The following is a 20,053-nucleotide window of genomic DNA, read 5'->3' as shown; positions in this document are numbered from 1 at the left end:
AGTCTGCTTGCTGTGTGTACAATGCCAAGTGCCTTTAAGACTACCACCAACAGCCTTTGGTTCAGTAGTACTTCATGCAGATAATATTGTCCATCTTTTTTTTTTCTCAAATAGCTAATAATCCTGCTATGAAAGCAAAGGTGCCTTTAGAAATATATACAAGTGTCTGCCTTCTTTTCTTCCTTCCTCCCTCCTTTCCTTCTTTCCTTCAACAACTTAGGCTGAAAGAATCATTACAAATTCACTGATAACAATATGGAGCTTAACTTTGGGAAATCTATTCATTTCGCCGTAAAGCCTTCATCTTATAGGTATGGGAACTTCTTGGTTGGTATCTCTTGAGGGTACCTGGCTAATGTGAACAGACTGCCCAGCGTCACCTTGACATTATAGTATTGGCTTTCTACCAGTCCCCCTAAGACAGCAGTGTGTCCAGCACCACGATTCCTCTAAATACATCATTAAAGGAAATCATTCAGACTGACCAGTGCACGTATATCACATTTACATTGCAAAACAGTCCATACTACTCTCCAATTGTAAAACAGATTGTATAACCTACGATAATTCAAAACATGCTATAAGAAACCACTCATTTCTCAGTAATTTGCTAATTATTTTGAGCTACTTATAAGCCTGAGATCACTAATATTACTTAAAGATGCCCTCCATATTCTGGATGTGAAAACTTGCTATGGATTGAATAGGTTAAGGCTAAGATTTAATGAATTTTCCAGTGAAAGTTGTTAAGGAAACTCCCTCTTTCAAACTGTTCTTTGAAGTGTAACAAAGAGGGTATGGTACAATACAAAGAAAACTGTCCTAGTCAAAACACAGCTCCACTGCTCACTAGCTGCGGGACTCTGGGCAAGTAATTCATTCTTTCTGAGCTGCAGCCTCTTTCTCAATTGTCAAAGATTTTTTTTAAATCTACTTCATCATGTGGTTGTGAGGATCAAATGAGATAATGTATGCAAAAGTGCTACATAAGTTACAGCATGCTACATAAAAGTCAAAATGTCCCCTGCTGTGGGGAAGAAAATATTACTTGATATGTATAATAATAATAATACTACCAAGTGCTCAAAGAGATACTACGGGAGAACAGAGGAGGGAGCACGTTATCTCAGCCTAAGAGAGAGCAGAGCTCACAGGAAACTGATTCTAATCGTCCTGGGGATGGATAAAGGATGTATGAAGGATGGATGAGAGGATGACTTCTGCTGCTGGAGGAGGGGCCGGGGGAGCTACAAGGGAAACAATCTGAATGAAAGCACACAGGCTGGCGGACCAGGGAGAATATGGCCCCTTAAGGAACCATGGGGTTGGAGCACAGAGTGCTTATGGGGCATGGTGGGAGATAAGAGCAGAGAGAAAGGCAAGCACTGGACCAGTAAAAGCCTGAACCACGCCAAGAAGTCTGGACTTCATCCCACATGTGATAGGGAGCCATTGAACAGAAATGTTAAAACAAAACAAACAAAAGAAAAAGCAGAAAAAAACCAGACATCTGGTTTACAATTTTTTCCTATAGATCATGAAGTTTCTACTCCAGCCATGTGCTCTTGGACAAGAAATACTTTGAGAGTAAGATTTTGGCCATAAACCTAGAAAAAGAAAGTGTGATGTACATACTGAGTCCCTAGTCTGTGTTAGGCACTGTGCTAAGCCCCTTTGTCTCCCTTACTGTTCATCTTCAAAATGCAGCTGCAGTGTGGGAACTCTGATTCACATTTTACAAATAAGGAAACTGAGACTCAAAAGATGAAATCTCTCCTCCAAGTTCAAAGAATCAGTGACTGGCAGAGCCAGCATTACAAATCTGATTTACCTACTTATTGCAGCCAAAACGTTACATGCAACCAAAACATCATAGAAAAACAATAATTTTTTTCCAGTTAAATGAAAGCTTGATTCCATCTACATCTGAATATTCAGACATTATTTTTAAGTCCTTACTGAAAATTTTAAAAATTCTTACCTCAAGTATAACCTCTCAACAATTTAAATGTTTCTTACTCTACACAAAGTATACAATAATTACTTTGAAAAGGCTGATATATACAGATACTGTCTATTCTAACAGCTATTGATTTCCATCTCAGCTCAAAATATAGAAGCAAATCATTCAAAACAGATTTTATTTTGCCAAATCACTCAATATGGCATCAAAACAGATCTTTAATTTAAAGGAAAATATCAGAAAAAAAGTAATTTTGGCATCTTTACCATAAATGACTCAGAATCTATGACTTTGAGTAACATTCTAAAAATGCTGCATAATACTGCCCATAATCTTAAAGTTACTTTAAAACACATAGTTCCATAAATATTTTCAAAGGCCTGCTATAGCCTTATTTCTTTTATACTAGCTTACTTTACTCAACTCCAAAATTTGCTTTATCAACAAAGGTAGAAGGTCTAGTGGCTAGTGAATTTTCAAAATACAACAAAAATATTGCCAAACTCCACAAGAAGCACTTTTAAAAAAATGACAGCACTTATATACATGCACACATGATTCACATGACTGAAAGGTCATTCATTTATAATATTACCTCTCTTCCTATCAGGACAAAATAAGGATGTGCATTCATTCATTCATTTATTTGAGATGGAGTTTCGCTCTTGTTGCCCAGGCTGGAATGCAATGGCACAATCTCAGCTCACTGCAACCTCCGCCTCCCGGGTTCAAACAATTCTCCTGCTTCAGCCTCCCAAGTAGCTGGGATTACAGACATGTGCCACAACACCTGGCTAATTTTGTATTTTTAGTAGAGACAGGGTTTCCCCATGTTGGTCAGGCTGGTCTCGAACTCCTGACCTTGGGTGATCCGCCCGCCTCGGCCTCCCATAGTGCTGGGATTACAGGCATGAGCCACCGTGCCTGGCAAGGATGTGCATTTAAAAGAAGCTACACAAAAAGATAAGAAGTAAAAACAATGCCAAGCAAACTACAGTTTACTATTTAATTTTCACTGCAAATAAAATGCATACACTCAGTAAGAAACTGGAGATAGCAAATTCCTTGCAGGTATTCCTTACTTTCCCAGAGAGCTAAGGCAGAAATAAAGACATTTAAATATATTAAAAGGTTTCTACAGTTGGAAAAATACAGATATATTTATCTCCATAAGAGAGACGAAAATCAGTGTGACTTGCAACTAGATAAAAGTAAGGTTTCCCCAGTTTCTGTGGGTGTTACCCCCACCCAATCTTAATTACCTTGCAATGAAATATGGAGATCGTCGATGCCCCAGGAACCCTGTTCATCTTCGGTGGGAAGCTCAGGACTAGATGCCATTCTTTGACTCAATGGAGATTATATCATGTCCATCTCAGTTGAAGAAGTGAACTGAAAGTGAAATGGATAAATGTTCATTAGTAACTTTGCAGCTCTGTTTCTAGTAAACATGCATTGCCAGAAAACAGCAGCAACCAAAAACTGTCCTCCAAAACAAGTATGGCTTTCTACTATGTGCTTCCATGGTTCATGAAGAACAAAGTAACTATGCCTTCTTTTTGAATCATAATCAAGATTTTGCCCTATGACTTATTCATGCCCTTTGGAGCTGCTTTCAGAACTCCAGAAGAACTAGCATTGTGGATTCTATACCAGTGGTGAAAAGGAAGGCCAGGCAATTCGATGTAATAACTTGTCTAGAGGAAGGAAAGTTGACACAAACTGATATCTTAGGCATTAGTGTTATGTGATTGTTAGCCTTCAACCTTCAAGGATTTTCTTTAAAACTTTTTTTGAACTTAGTTCCTTTTCTGCCCCAGTTATGTTGCCATTTACTGGAAACAATAAGAGCTGAGCCTGCATAGCTTGCAAAGTGAAACTAAAAATCTAATATATCAAAAAGAATATTTTAATGAGTTATCTAATATATTGAATTATTTTCCCAAAGGCTTATTTTTTCACCTACACATTTCTTCCCCTCGCCCCACCTTGATTCTTAAAGAATCCTTCCAGTGAGAGCAGTTTTTACTTCATACCTCTTTAAAAGCATTGCTTCATGTATTTATTTACCACTATTAGTTTCTGGAGGATAAGTATAAAACACCGACTTCTCCCATATGGATGATCAAATAATAAACCTAACCAAGCATATAAAAATATAAAGTAGATTGGGGGTGTACATAGGGATGGATAATTGTACAGCTTTGTGATCAAGCAAGCATTGCAAAATATTAATGTTAGAATCTATGTGTTGACCCTATAGGTATTCACTTTTAAATTCCTTTAACTTTGCTGTATACTAGAAATTTTGCATAATAAAATGCTGGGGGAGGGGGCGGCGTGGAACTAAAAGATAAGTATGAGGCCAACAGCTAGATACGGTCAATCATATTAAATATTAAACAGAACACTTCAAAAAATACAAAGAATAAGAATCATTAAACAGTCCCTGCTAGTTCAAAAATCTTTCAATCCTGCCTGCCCCCTCTGTTTATCATCCATATCCCTTTTATTAGCTCTTGCATGGATCACTGTTGTTAAAGATTTCAGCTACCAAATTAACTTGACTAATTAATGATTAATTTGTTTATCCTCCAAATTAAGATGAATCACAACCAGCCTGAGGTAAAAGAGTTGCTATATGGAATTGAGAGATTCTAACCAAAAAGAAAGGCTGTTTATTAGTTCACCATGAGCCTTGGCAGCCTGATGAGTGACAAAGATACAAACATCCTCAGCTTTGCGATATACTGAGGACCTCCACCACCCCTTCCCATACTCTGGGGCTCCTGAACCCAAAGTGGAGATAAAGCACTTCTTCATTTTGGCACCCTAAGATTTGAATTCCAGAATGAATTTTCTAAGGGCACACACTATTCCATGTCATCGCTATTTAAAAAAAAAAAGGATAATAGCAATATTATACAGTACTTACTGTATACAGGCACTGTTACAAGCACTTTGTATATACAACCTCATTTAATCTTTATAACAATGGTAAGAGTTAGGAACTACAGTTATCTCCACATTTGAAAAGACAAAGCTTAGATGCACCAGTATGATTCACAATTGTCTAAGGACACACAGGTAATAAATGATGGAGCCAAGACTTGAATCCAGGTGGTTTGGGCTTCAGAGTTCATGCTCTAAACCAACACATGATGGTGTCTCCTAAGGTGAGTGAGAGTTTGCCATATGTCATTTATTTTTGTTTTCATTCATTTGCACAACAAATAATTATATAAGCTGGATGCCACTCTCAAGAGATTCAATCCTCTGAGAATGATAAATGAACAGAATATTAAGCAAAATCCTCTAATAAGTACAGAAGGTACTCTGAGAGCAAAGGAGACTGCATGCCCCATCACTTAAAGCTGGAGATGGATGTGACTGTCAGGAGCTGCAGTGGACTGAGTTCTTACGTCCCCCAAAGTCCATATGTTGAAATCTAATCCCCAATGTCACGGTATTAGGAGGTGGGGCCTTTGGGAGGTGATCCTCATTAATGGGATTAGTCCCCTTATAAAAGAGGCCCAAGAGAGACTCCTTACCCGTTCTACCATGTGAGGATAGACTGAGAGGATGGCCATCTATGAGGAAACAGGCCCTCATCAGACATTGAATCTTCTGGACTTGATCTTGGATTAGATTTCTGTCATTTACAAACTACCCATTTTATGGTATTTTGTTATAGCAACTCAACAAGACAAGAGTGTACTTTTTACAAAATAGCATTTCATGCAAAATAGTCCTATTAGAATTAGCATTATTTGGACAGTACCTTGAATTTGGTAAGAATGTCTCTGAGAAGATCCAAATCAGTATAATCAGAAATGACAAAGATATTACAGCTGATCCCTCAGAAATACAAAAGATCCACTACAACAACTCTATGCACACAACTTAGAAAATCTAGAGGAAATGGATAAATTCCTGGAAACACAATTTCCCAAGATTGAATTGGGAAGAGATTGAAATCTTGAGTAGACCAATATCAAACTCCGAAGTTGAACCAATAATAATTTTTTTTAAAACCTACCAACCAAAAAAAGCTCTGGACCAGATGGATTCACAGCTGAATTCTACCAGAAGTGTAAAGAGGAACTGGTACAAATCCTACTGAAACAATTCCAAAAAATCAAGGAGGAGGGACTCCTCCCTAACTCATACTATGAAGCCAGCATCAGCCTAATACCAAAATTTGGCAAAGACACAACTAAAAAAGAAAACTTCAGGCCAATATCCCTGATGAACATAGATGCAAAAATTCTCAACAAAATACTAGCAAACTGAATCCAGCAGCACATAAAAAAGTTAATTCATCACGATCAATTAGGCTTTATTCCTGGGATGCAAGGTTGGTTCTAACATATGCAAATCAATAAATGTGATTCACCACATAAACAGAATTAAAAGCAAAAACCATATGTCATCTCAATAGACACAGAAAAACTTTTTATATAATCCAACATTTCCCTTTATGATTTAAAAAAACCCTCAACAGACTAGGCATTGAAGGAACATACCTCAAAATAATAAGAGCCATCTATGAAAAAACCCACAGCCAACATCATATTCAACGGGCAAAAGCTGGAACAATTCCCCCTGAGAGTCAGAACAAGACAAGGATGTCCACTCTCACCACTCCTATTCAACATAGCACTGGAAGCCCCCGCCAGAGCAATCAGGCAAGAGAAAGAAATAAAAGGCATCCAAATAGGAAAAGAAGAGGTCAAACAATCTCTCTTTGCTGATGATATGATTCTATACCTAGAAAACCCTAAAGACTCTGCCAAAAGGCTACTAGAACTGATATGTGATTTTAGAAGGGTTTCAGGATGTAAAATCAATGTACAAAAATTAGTAACATTTCTATACACCAGTAACATCCAGGCTGAGAGTCAAGAACATAATCCCGTTTACAATAGCCACAAAGATGATGAAATATCTAGGAACACAGCTAACCAAAGAGGTGAAAGATCTCAAGGAGAATTATAAAACACTGCTGAAAGAAATCAGAGATGAGACAAATAAAGGGAAAAACGTTCCATGCCCATGGATTAGGAGCATCAATATCATTGAAATGACCATACTATCAAAGCAATTTACAAATTCAATGCCATTGCTATCAAACTATGAACATTCTTCACAGAATTAGAAAAAACAACTCTAAAATTCATATAAAACCAAAAAAGAGCCCAAATAGTCAAAGCAATCCTAAGAAAAAAGAACAAAGCCAGAGCCATCACACTACCCAATTTCAAAATATACTCTATGGCTACAGTAACCAAAACAGTATGGTACTGATACAAAAACAGACACAAAGACCAATAGAACAAAATAGAAAACTCAGAAATAAAGCTGCACATTTCCAACCATCTGATATTAACAAGACTGACAAAAGTAAGCAATGGGGAAATGACTCCCTATTCAATAAATGATGCTGGGATAACTGTATAGCCATATGCTGAAGAATGAAACTGAATCCTTCCTTATCTTTCACCATAAACAAAAATTAACTCAACATAGATAAAAGATTTAAATGTAAGACCTCAAACTATAAAAATCCTGGAAGAAAACCTAGGAAATACCCTTCTCAACATAAGCCGTGACAAAGAACTTTTGGCTAAGTCTCCAAAAGCAAAAGCAACAAAAAACAAAAATTGACAAATGGGATCTAATTAAAGAGTTCCTGCGCAGCAAAAGAAACTATCAACAAAGTAAACAACCTACAGAATGGAAGAAAACATTTGCAAACTATGCACTGACAAAGGCCTAATATTCAGAATCTATAAGGATCTTAAAGAAATCAACAAGCAAAAGACAACCCCATTAAAAAATGGGCAAAGGACATGAATAGACACTTCTTAAAAGGAGACTTAGAAGTGGCCAACTAACATGAAAAAATGCTTATCATCACTAATTATCAGAGAAATACAAATCAAAACCACCAAGATACACCATCTCACACCAGTCAGAATGGCTACTACTAAAAGTCAAAAAACAGCAGATGCTGGTGAGGCTGCAGAGAAAAGAGCGCTTATAAACTGTCAGTGGGAAAGTAAATTAGTGCAGCCACTGTGGAAAGCAGTTTGCAGATGTCTCAAAGAACTTAAAACAGAGTTAACATTCAACCCAGCAATCCTATTACTGCATATATACCCAAAGGAAAACAGATCATGCTACCAAAAAGACACATGCACTCATAAGTTTATTGCCAGGTTACTCACAATAACAAAGACATGGATTCAGCCTGGGTTCCCATCAACAGTGGATTTGATAAAGAAAAGGTAGTGCATACACACCATGGAATACTACAAGCCATAAAAAAGAATAAAATCATAGCCTTTGCAGCAACATGGATGGAGCTGGAGGCCATAATCCTAAGCGAATTAACACAGGAACAGAAAACCAATAATATATGTTTTCACTTAAAAGTGGGAGCTAAACATTGAGAACACATAGACATAAACATGGGAACAAAAGACACTGCAGACTTCCAGAGGGGTGAAGGGAGGGAAGGGAGCATGGGTTGAAAAACAACCTATTGGGTACTATGCTCACCACCTGGTTACAATATACCCATGTTACAAACCTGCACATGTGCCCTCTGTATCTAAAATAAAAGTTGAAATTTAAAAAAATATATAGAATGTCTCTGAAATTAAAAAAAAAAAAGAATGGCCATTTCATTGAATATTAATCAAATATAAGGTATCAAATGTAGGGGAAAGAATCATTTGTTGTATTTACATTAAAAATAAAAACAAAACAATAAAGACAAGTTGTTAACTGGAGAACCAAGAAGTATTCCTGTCCTCAACCGGCATGTGGAATTCACTGTATTGTATATTAAAGATGTAGGAAAAGACCAGGCACATGCCTATAGTCCTAGCTACCCAGGAGTCTGAGGTGGGAGGATTGTTCAAACCCAGAAGTTTGAGGCAAGCCTGGGCAACATAGACAGACTACCTCTAAAAAGTAAATAAATAAAAATAAATAAATAACAAAGGTGTCAGAAAAAAATTAGATAACATAGCACCCAAAAAAAACCAATTAAGACCTTAAAATAGCTGGATGTCTAAGAAGTTTCTGTTTTTAACCATGAAAATTTATTATCAAACAAGGCAAAAGATATATTCATAATTTTTTACTTCCTTGACAATTTCTTAGAGCTTCTAGAAATGTCTATCAAAAGTAAAACCAAACTTTGAAGACTGAATCAATTCGAAGTGTTAGATTATTAACCCAAATACTGTCATAGCACAATTATTTGTCAAAACATGCTACAGAGGCCATGAGGATATAATTGAAGAGACTTATTGATGACATTTCCAACACAATTGTTTTTGGTGAGAAACTGCTGACATTTCTAGGGAGGAATTTACTTACCAAATAGGACCCATGAAAAACTGGAACAGAGTAGAAAAGAAAAGTTCCAAGGAACTTCTCAGGATTTGAATTCAGAAGCTAGAAAGGCTTTGAAAAAGGAAGGCAGAAGAAAGAGTCAAAGGCCAGGTGCAGTGGCTCATACCTGTAATCCCAGCACTTAGGAAGCCAGAGGCAGGAGGACTGCTTGAGACCAGGACTTCGAAACCAGCCTTCATCTCAACAAAAAAATCAAAAAAATTAGCTGGGCATAGTGGCATACACCTGTAGTCCTAGCTACTCCAGAGGCTGAGGTTCCCACCTCACTTGAGGCCAGGAGGTCAAGGCTGCAGTGAGTCGTGTTCATGCCGCTGCACTCCAGCCTGGGTGACAAAGCAAGACCTTGTCTCCAAAAAAAAAAGAAAAAAACAAAAAGGAAAGAAAGAGGAGTGAGGGCTAAGGGCTAGATTTAGCTAAGGGCTAGATTGAGTCTCCCGGGTCTCTAGCAACCGAAATCTATCACTGTGTTTTGACTCCTCTAAGGAGAACACAGCGGCTGTGCCCAGGTAAATTCCAGCCCAGAAGAGCTTTCCTGGGTACTCCTTCTGGCCTTACTTTTTCTTTTCAAATAAAAGTTACCACAATTATGTAACAAAGCCAGGGTTTAGTACTAAAATAAATAAAACTATTCTTTTTTTTTTTTTTTTTTTTTTTGAGGAGTCTCGTTCTGTCACCCAGGCTGGAGTGCAGTGGTGCAATCTCGGCTCACTGCAACCTCTGCTTCCCGGGTTCCAGTGATTCTTGTGCCTCAGCCTCCCTAGTAGCTGGGATTACAGGCACGTACCACCACACACGGCTAATTTTTGTACTTTTAGTAGAGATGGAGTTTTGCCATGTTGGCCAGGCTGGTCTTGAACTCCTGACCTCAGATAATCAGCCCGCCTCAGCCACCCAAAGTGCTGGGATTACAGGCATGAGCCACCACGCCTGACCTTAAATGAAACTACTCTTAAAAGTGAATAAAATCTTCAGAAACATAACCAAAGGTTGGGTGAAGAATGTAGTGGCATTAAAGCTTCTAAAATGAAGTGGAATAATGTGGGATTGTTTTTAAAATACATGTAAATTAATATACATGCTTTTACCAATGACATAAGCTATTTGGGGGTTTTGGTTTTGTTTGGTTTGTTGTTGTTGAAGACAAGTTTTCATTCTGTCACCCAGGCTGGAGTACAGTGGTGCTATCATGGCTCACTGAAACCTCAACTTCCCTGGGCTCAAGTCATCCTCCCACCTCGTCCTCCCAAGTAGCTAGAACTACAGGCACACGCCACCACGCTTGGCTAATTTTTAAATTTTCTGTAGAGGCAGGGTCTCCCTATATTCCCCATGCTGGTCTCAAACTCCTGAACTGAAGCCATCCTCCTGCCTCACCTCCCAAAGTCCTGGGATTACAGATGTGAGCAATTGCAGCCAGCTGACAAACTATTTTGAAATGACTGTGGTTTGCTTATGCAATAATCCTGTGGTGTCAATTAAAACCTCAAAACACTAGTGAGTTTCCCTTTTTTAAAGAAATCTTGGCATTTACTCTGGTTTTTTTCAACTAAAAGATGAAATTTTAATAGAGAGTATCCGAAATGAAAGGGATTATGGGTGATTTTTATTTTCTTTTTATCTGCGTTTTTAAAATTTTAAATGACAGATGCATATTTCTACTGAAATAACAATTTGGCTTTTATTTTAATGAAATGACAGCAAAATGAGAATAAGGTATTATTAGTTCAGGTTCAGTTCTTCATTCCATATTCAATAGAACCTGTACATCTATGTCTTCATAACAAGGAGAAAAATACTCTCTTGACAAAAATGAAATATTTTTTAAATTCTCTGAGTGTGTCAGAAATTTCTAAAAACTACTCCCAAAGTCTTTTTGGTAGCTCAACAGCTTTCCGTTTTCTCATTAGTAGACAGTTTGTTAACAAGCCCTGCCAGTCTAACTGAAAAACCACTCTGTCAATGGTGAGGAAGAAGCATCTGTCCTATCTTTAAAGGTTGACCAGAAGGTATATCATAACAGATGTAGCATTCACGTTATTTCTTTAACAGAGTGATTTTAAAGCCAGCATTTTCCCTGGGGTGTCTCTCCTGTTCTTTTTCCATTCTTCAGCTGTACTCTGTTATTTATAGTCCACCTAGGAATGTGGAAGGATCTTCTCCTTTATCAGTTAAATTGTAGAGCTATTCCTAGCAATTGACAGTCCACTTACAAGCTCACAGCAGAAAGTTGGTGAAACACTGCAATAAATTTGTTCATCTTTTTCCCATTAACTTTTCCCCTTATTATTTATCCTGTAATCATCATTTGACTAGAAGCAACTGGTGCATATTTCCAGGTCAGGTGATTTGTAAGATCCACTCTATTCCCTCCTCCTGGGCACTTTATTCTTCTAATGACACCACACAAATGCCAGAACAACCAATCCTATGATATGGTCTGGCTGTGTCCCCACCCAAATCTCATCCTGAATTTTAACTCCCACAATTCCCACGTGTCATGGGAGGAACCTAGTGGGGGGTGATTGAATTATGGCGGTGGGTCTTTCCTGCACTGTTCTCATGATTGTGAATGAGTCTCATGAGATCTGATGGTTACTATTGGGGGAGTTTTCCTGCACAAGCTCTCTTTTTGCCTGCTGCCATCCATGTAAGTCGTGACTTGCTCCTCCTTCCCTTCCATCATGATTGTGAGGCCTCCCCAGCCATGTGGAAGTTTAAGTTCATTAAACCTCTTTTTCTTCCCAGTCTCAAGTATGTCTTTATCAGCAGCGTGAAAACAAACTAATACACCTATCTATGCATTACACTTTTGGAAAACAAAAATGTAGCAATTCTCAAATCATGATGCCACTGGGCTTGCAATCTCACAACAAAGCAGTGTCACCAACCAATACCAACTGTGGTGAGAAACCACCCACTTAACCCATGATCAGAACATCCTGAGGAAATGTAGCCACTTCCCTAAAAGAGCCTTCCGCTGGCCCTGACCTAGTCCCAGATGCTCTGAACTTCAGTATCCACTGCTGTAGAATGGGAATAATACTTCTTGTTTAAGGTGGTTGCTGGAATTCAAGGAAAACACTCATGAAACTAAAAATGACAACAATTAACATTTATTAAATACTATTAAGAAATATACTACACAGTATATAAATGGTATTTATTATAATCTGTGAAATACATTTATAGGGATTATCCTATTTCTTAATCAGCAGTAAAAATTAAAAGCTAGTCACCATACTAGAACAAAGAGTGAAAACACTCAGGCACAGTGGCTCACGCCTGTAATCCCAGCACTGTGGGAAGCCAAGGCAAGAGGATCACTTGAGACCAGGTGTTCTAGACCAGCCTAGGCAACATGGTAAAACCCCATCTTTACAAAAAATACAAAAATTAGCTAGGCATGGTGGTGTGTGCCTGTAGTCCCAGCTACTTGGGAGGCTGAGGCAGGAGGATCACCCGAGCCCAGGAGGTCAAGGCTGCAATAAGCCATGATTGCGCCACGGCACTCCAGCCTGGGTGACAGAGCAAGACCCTGTCTCAAAAAAACTAACAAACAGGGCCAGGCACAGTGACTCATGCCTGTAATCCCAGCACTTTGGGAGGCCAAGGCAGGTGGATCACCTGAGGTCAGGAGTTCAAGACCAGCCTGGCCAACAAGGTGAAACCCTGTCTCTACTAAAAATACAAAAATTAGCTGGGTGTGGTGGCAGGCGCCTATAGTCCCAGCTACTTGGGAGGTTGAGACAGAAGAATTGCTTGAACCCAGGAGGCGGAGGTTGCAGTAAGCTGAGATCGTGACACTGCACTCCACTTACACACACGGAGCAAGACACCATCTCAAAAAAAAAAAACTTAAGGATGAAAACTTCCAAAGCTAAAAAACCTGACATTCACAAATGTGAAATCAACACATAATCAGAAAATTTTCCACAAATGCTGTCTGATTCCACTTACATAAGGTACCTACAGTCATCAAACTTTATAGAGACAGACAGTAGAATGGTGCTGCCAGGGAATGGAGAGTTAACTATTTTAATTAACTTTTAATTGTTTAATGAATATATAGTTTCAGTTTCACAAAATGAAAAGAGTTCTGGAAATGGATGGTGGTGATGGTTACACAACAATGTGAATCCACCAGCAGCAATTAATACCACTTAAAAATGGTTAGGATGATAAACTTTATGTTATATGTATATTGAACAAAGTTTTAAAAGAAAACTTTTCAACCTATAATTTATATCCAGCTAAAGTACGAATCAAGTGTTAGGGTAGAAAAAAGTAATTTCCTCACACACAAAGCTCAAAAAAAATGTATGTCCTAAACACTTGTTCTTAGAAAGCTACTGGTGAGGGCCAGGTGCAGTGATTCATGCCTGTAATCTCAGCACTCTGGGAGGCCAAGGTGGGCGAATCGCTTGAGGCCAGGAGTTCGAGACCAGCCTGGGCAACTAGCAAAACCCCGTCTCTACAAAAAAAAACAAAAATTAACCAGGTGCGGTGGCATGCGCCTGTAGTCCCAGCTACTCGGGTGGCTGTGGCGGGTGGATCGCTTGAGCCAGGGAGGCAGAGACTGCAGTGGGCCAAGATGGCAACACAGCACTCCAGCCTGGGCAATGGCGAAACTCTGTCTCAAAAAAAAATAAAACTATACCAACAAAATAAGGTAAAACAAGATGAACGAAAGTATGCCAACAAAATAGAACACTAAACTAAAAGTGAGAAAAACAGGGACTGGGCATTGAATACAGAAGAAATAAAGGGACGTTCCCAGGACGATAGTGATGCAGCAGATTGAGGCAGGAAAAGGGAGGGCTCTGAGAGGGAGGTTTGGGGTGCAAGCTGTGGGGAAGATTACATGGGAAGGAGGGATGTGACTACAGGCAGGAGTGAACCCATGAAATGAGAGAGTGTACAGACTGCTGTCTCAGTGAGGCTGAAGAATGATTACGGTTTGCATACATTAGGAAATACACTAGAAGAGCTGGCGGCTGTGTTCAGAGAGATTTCAATGAGTGGCTTTGAACATAAAGCAGCTCATGATAAGACAAAGTTCCAATTTGGGATCTCAGAAACTTTTTTAAAAAATGTATTCCTCCATGCATTCCATGAAGAATTTGTGGTTTGCAAAACATGCTCGCTGTTCCTCTGGGTAGGAATGCTGAGAAATTTTGAAGTAGAGAAGAATGAACGGAGCTCTCATCATCTGACTTCATTTTTCTCAGGAAAATAAGAGCTGAGGTCATCTCCTGGGAGCAGGAGCAGGGGGAGCATGGGTGGTGTGGGGTCCTTGAGGAATAAACAATGCTTGGAACAGGCCAGTTAAGAACACAAACCAACCAACCAAAGAAGCATACAAGGATTGTGAGGGCAGCTGAAGGCCCACTGAGGCCAGAACAGCACCGGCTGCGAATGAACCCAAATGGCATGCTGGGTCCAAGGTTGGCCCAGGAGGGCTCAGCAAAGATGTTCTCACATCTGCCTGATGCTCATTTCTGCCAACTAAAAAATCCTGTAAAAGTGCATGTATACACAAGGAGACACATTCAAGAATAATCAGGGTAGAACTGTTTGTAAGGAAAAAAGTGGAAATAATCTAATACTGTCAGCAGAGAAACAGATAAACTGTCGCTGATTCATGCAGAAGTGAAGACTATTCACAGCTAAAATGAATGAACAGCCAATATCAGCATGGATAGATATCAGAACTACAAAGGTGGGGAAACGAGCCAGCACAAAGGATAGACATGCTATGAAGTCATATGTCCTTTATGTAAATTTATTTATTTATTTATTTATTTATTTAGAGATAGGGTCTCACTCTGTCGCCCAGGCTGGAGTGCAGTGGCACAAGCTCAGCTCACTGCAATCTCCACCTCCCGGGTTCAAGCAATTCTCCTGCCTCAGCCTCCCAAGTAGCTGAAATTACAGGTATGCACCACCATGCCTGGCTAAATTTTGTATTTTTTGGTAGAGACAAGGTTTCACCATGTTGGCCAGGCTGGTCTCAAACTCCTGATGACAGGTGATCTGCCTGCCTTGGCCTCCCAAAGTGCTGGAATTACAGGTGTGAGCCACTGCGCCAGGCCATTTATATACATTTTAAACACACGCATGAACACATATACAGTAAAAGAACAAAAACATGCTAAGGCAGGATACCCACCACTTCACAGAGTGGAGGGCAAAGGACTGGGAGGACAGACTTCAGCTATATAGTTTACTTAGTTAAACATCTAAGTAGGGAGTCCATTATCAATGTTTAAAATAGTCATTATTAACTCTTTAAAATTTTAACAGAATTCTATGTAAGTTAGAGAAATGAGAGGAAATGGCTGAAAGAGCACTAGACTTAGAGTCAGGAGAACTCGGCTGTAGTCCCAGCTTCTCCACTGACCACTCGGCCTTGGGCAATCATCAGCTTCTCCAAGGTCCTGTTTCTTCATCTGTTAAATGAGGGTAATGATTTTGTCCAGGCCAACATTCAGACTTTCAGATTCCTGCCAAGGAATCTAACCCAAAGTTCTCCGCCACGCATTTACAAACACTGGATTACAAGAAACAATATTCATAGAGGAATGCCTGAAACAGAGTCCACCCATTCCTGGATGTTGTCTTTGGATCCTGTCCAGCTGCCAGGGAGCCATGAACCTGAACTGCATTGTTCTACCCCTTCAGAGAACTGCTTTTATTAAAATGTATTTCAGTGTGATCCCACAAGCCTTACTATGCAGGATATGATAGGAAAAAGTCAAGAGAAACCTACCATTGTACTCTTTCTACAGGAGTTCGGGAGTACACAGCCCATAAACCAGTGTTCCTTTTATGAGAACATGCTATGGAAAATTCTCTCAGGTCTCAGTACCAAGAAAAACTGTGATCCTAGGCATCTATTCTTTTAATTTAATGAACATGTTATTTTTATAAACAAGGTTTCCCTCCCTTTTTTGGCTGCTACAGCCGATCTCTAGCAACTACAAATGACTTTATAGAAAATAAGTTGCTTTACCACTGTCTACATCCACCTATCCCTATTTTTCCTTCATTCCAATGTCCTCATCTATTTTTTCTTCTATAGAATTTTATGTTTCTCTATAAAGTGCTTCAAACTTTTCCCTGGAATAAGAGAGGATATAAATAAATTAAGTCACAGACTTTCTGTAAGGACAAGATGATTATCTCATTTAGTATGTAGCATGTTGAAATTACAAAATTGTAATGAAATTTTGTAATGAAATTACAAAAATGTAAATTTTTTCTAGGTTTTTTTTTTTTTTTTTTTTGGAGATTTGGAGACAGGGTCTCACTCTGTCACCCAGGCTGGAGTACAGTGCACAATTTCAACTCACTGCCACCTTTGCCTCCTGGACTCAAGCCATCCTCCCACCTCAGCCTCTTGAGTACCTGGGACAATAGGCACACACCACCTGCCCAGCTAATTTCTGAATTTTTTTTTTTTTTTTTTTTTGATAGAGACAGGATCTTGCCATGTTGCCCAGGCTGGTCTCAAACTCCCAGGCTTAAGTGACCCATGCACTTTGGCCTCCAAAGTGCTAGGATTACAGGTGTGAACCACCCTTCCTGGGCCACAAATGTAAATTGTTATTCATTGGTGAGAAAGAAAAAATTGGTAGTAGAAAATGGAAATTTGGCCAGGTGCAGTGGCTCACGCCTGTAATCCCAGCACTTTGGGAGGCCAAGGCAGGCAGATCACAAGGTCAGGAGTTCAAGACCAGCCTGGCCAATATGGTGAAACCCTGTCTCTACTAAAAATAAAAAAAAAAAAATTAGCCAGGGGTGGTGGCGGGCGCCTGTAGTCCCAGCTACTCTGGAGGCTGAGGCAGGAGAATCACTTGAACCCAGGAGGCGGAGGTTGCAGTGAGCCAAGATCATGCCACTGCACACCACCTAGGCAACAGAGAGAGACTTCATCTCAAAAAAAAAAAAAAGAAAAGAAAATGGAAATTTATGTGCTTTCAATAAATGAGATTATCTTAATATTTCTCAATGCCATATCACTTGAAGACAGCTAGATCCCAGCTGTAAGCTCTAGGAAGAGGCCTAATTTGTAGACAACATGCTAAAGCATCCCTACGGAAAACACAGGAATGACTTTGTGACCTACTATCATTTCTGCCAGATTTATGTCCCATCACTCTTGAACTAAACGTGTATCACCAATAGCCGGAGTCCCATAGAAAGCCTGAATCAACAGAGTCTTGCCTACAAGCAACAGATTAACAATGTTTCTAGGGTAGTATGGAACAGAGTAATGGAGAGAGAGAACGTAGTGAGGGCCATAATGAATTATTATTCATAATAAAAATATATTCCTAAGGACACTTTACATCAAAGAATATATTTGTAATGATTATACTCCTGGTGAATATACTTATTCTGCCTTCCCTCCATTCCCTCATTCTGCCCCTCAATCTCCTCTCTGGGAGAACAGCAGTCCAGGCTCTGCAGTGTATTTTTATCTACCTCTGCCCCAGCACACTCCCGTTCCAGCAATGCAAACACATGTTATTTTATAATGGCCGGATGCAGTGGCTCACACCTGCAATCCCAGCACTTTGGAGGCCACGGCAGGAGGATCCCCTGAGGCCAGGAGTTCAAGACCAGCCTGGGCAACATAGCAAAATGCCATTTCTAGAAAAAAAAATTGTTTTTAATTAGCAGGGCATGGTGGAGCATGCCTATAGTCCTAGCTGCTCAAGACGCTGAGGCAGGAGGACAGTTTGAGCCCAGGAGCTTAATTAGGGCTGCAGTGAGCTATGATCCTATGATCACATCCACTGCATTCCAGCCTGGGCACAGGAACAATGCCCTGTCTCAAAAAAAAAAAAAAAATCCATAAAATGCCAGCACATTAAAAAGAAAAAGTCCATCTTAAACATCACATGCATCTTCAAAAAGCTGTTAAAACCATCTTATCTTATACAAACTGTTTAAACTTTTAAAATAGAACTGAAAAGAAACAAATAATTAGGTCAGTCTGTCATTGGGTAACTTGGCTCGAGGTGAACTGGCCTTTTTCCCCAAAGAAGTAACTGAGTAACTAACAGATCACTCATCTCTGCTCCCTACTCCAGGAATAATCTCAGCCCTGCATCCCAGCCAAGCTGGCTGGAGCCTTGACTCCCATCGCCTAGCTCGTTAGACCCTTCCAGGCATTTTAAGCTGGAGTATACTACGGACATCCTTGCATCACTTAGAGGCTGTACATCCTGAATGTTTAGCTTGGCCAGCTAACAAGGAGAAACACACTCCTTAGACTCTCCACACTGAGCCTACCCTGGCCCTGTGAAACAGATTCTTCAGATTCCAGATTCTAGTCCTGTGAGAAGGGCTGTTTTGCTTGCTGTTTTATCTTTATTATGTAGCATAGTGTATGCCATATAGTTGCTACATAATAGATGTTTGAGAAAAGATTTTTAAAAAGAATAAATTAATAACTTGAGCAATGTTGTTGAAGAAAGTTTCTCTTTTTTTGAGACAGGGACTTGCTCTATTGCCCAGGCTGGAGTACAGTGGCACGATCTTACCTTACTGCAGCCTCAACCTCCCAGGCTCAAGTGATCCACCTCAGCCTCCTGAGTAGATGGGACTACAGGCGTGTGCCACCACGCCCAGCTAATTTCTTAATTTTTTTTGTAGTGACAAAAAAATAGGTCTCACAATGTTGCCCAGGCTGGTCTCGAGCTCCCGGACTCAAGTGATCCGACTGCTTTGGCCTCCCAAACGGCTACGATTAAAAGTGCGAGCCACCGCACCTGGCCAAGGACACCATTTCTATAACCTTCAGCTTCTCCGTGTAGGAAGCCCTTCTATTAAATTTTTTTCTTTTTCTTTTTTTTTAAAGAATTTAGTGCTAGAAAATACTTCATTTCCTTTGAGAAATGAAGAATGGGTGTCTGTTGTTGTTTTCTTTTCTAAAAATAAGAATCATATAATTAATGTTCCTTTTTCACTTTGGCTGCCCCAAAACACAGGGCTAACTTTGAGGTCTAACTCTAGTAACTGTGTAGACCCTCACTGTATTTGTTTTTCTCTGGCCTTTGTATTATGTTTTGTTTTTACTCTTGACTGACATATAATATCTGATCTTATATGTATTTGTTGTGATCATCTTAAATCCTTTGTGAATAAAAGAGAATGAATAAATTTAAAAACTAAATAAATAAAACAGCCAGGCATGGTAGCCCTAGCCTATAGGCCAGCTACTTGGGAGGCTGAGGCAGGAGGACTGCTTAAGCCCCAGAGTTCAAGGCCAGCCTGTGCAACATAGTGAGACCCCTGTCTCTACAACAAAAAAAAAAAAAAAAAGAAAGTACACCAAGGATTTATTTTTTACACACACACAAATAAAAACAGAAATAATACTAAAAATAATTTTTAACCTCGGGTCTTCATGAGTCACAGAATACAAAAAAGAAGTTGCAATTCCTTCCTTGGATATCTTCACTTGAATTGCTTCTCTTTCTTCCATTTTTGACATTTTTTTTTTCTCCCCAAATGACCGGAATTCTTAGCCATGGAAAACTGAATTGACTTCAAATATCTTCCTGGATGTATTTTAAGGTAAAAATGCCAATTTCTGCTTGTAATGTTTTTTTTTCCTTGGGTTTTCAAGAAGAACATGAAACTACTCTGGAA

General features: G+C 39.4%; 1 protein-coding gene across 29 annotated transcripts in view, besides 1 other annotated feature; it reads right to left on the bottom strand.

Moving 5' to 3' along the window:
* SYNE2 (spectrin repeat containing nuclear envelope protein 2) overlaps positions 1–20,053 on the bottom strand; it is a 464,854-nt gene that overhangs the window by 313,997 nt on the left and 130,804 nt on the right. For all 29 annotated transcript variants that reach the window (XM_047431152.1, XM_011536576.3, XM_047431149.1 and 26 more), the window contains one exon: positions 3,226–3,355. In XM_047431152.1, coding sequence (XP_047287108.1) covers positions 3,226–3,304 — 79 coding nt within the window. In that variant the 5' untranslated portion in view covers positions 3,305–3,355. The remainder of the gene's footprint in view (positions 1–3,225; positions 3,356–20,053) is intronic.
* Positions 18,508–19,032: an enhancer, noted in NCBI's record as "H3K27ac-H3K4me1 hESC enhancer chr14:64360139-64360663 (GRCh37/hg19 assembly coordinates)". NCBI's record gives its function as "activates a minimal SCP1, AML or CMV promoter by ChIP-STARR-seq in primed H9 embryonic stem cells {active_cell/tissue: H9 hESC(primed)}" and the evidence as "EXISTENCE:reporter gene assay evidence [ECO:0000049][PMID:30033119]".

This window comes from Homo sapiens, chromosome 14 (assembly GCF_000001405.40).
Source record: "Homo sapiens chromosome 14, GRCh38.p14 Primary Assembly".
Lineage (NCBI taxonomy): Eukaryota > Metazoa > Chordata > Mammalia > Primates > Hominidae > Homo > Homo sapiens.
Note: the sequence above shows the minus strand (reverse complement) of the source record. Positions and strands in the feature narration are given on the sequence as shown.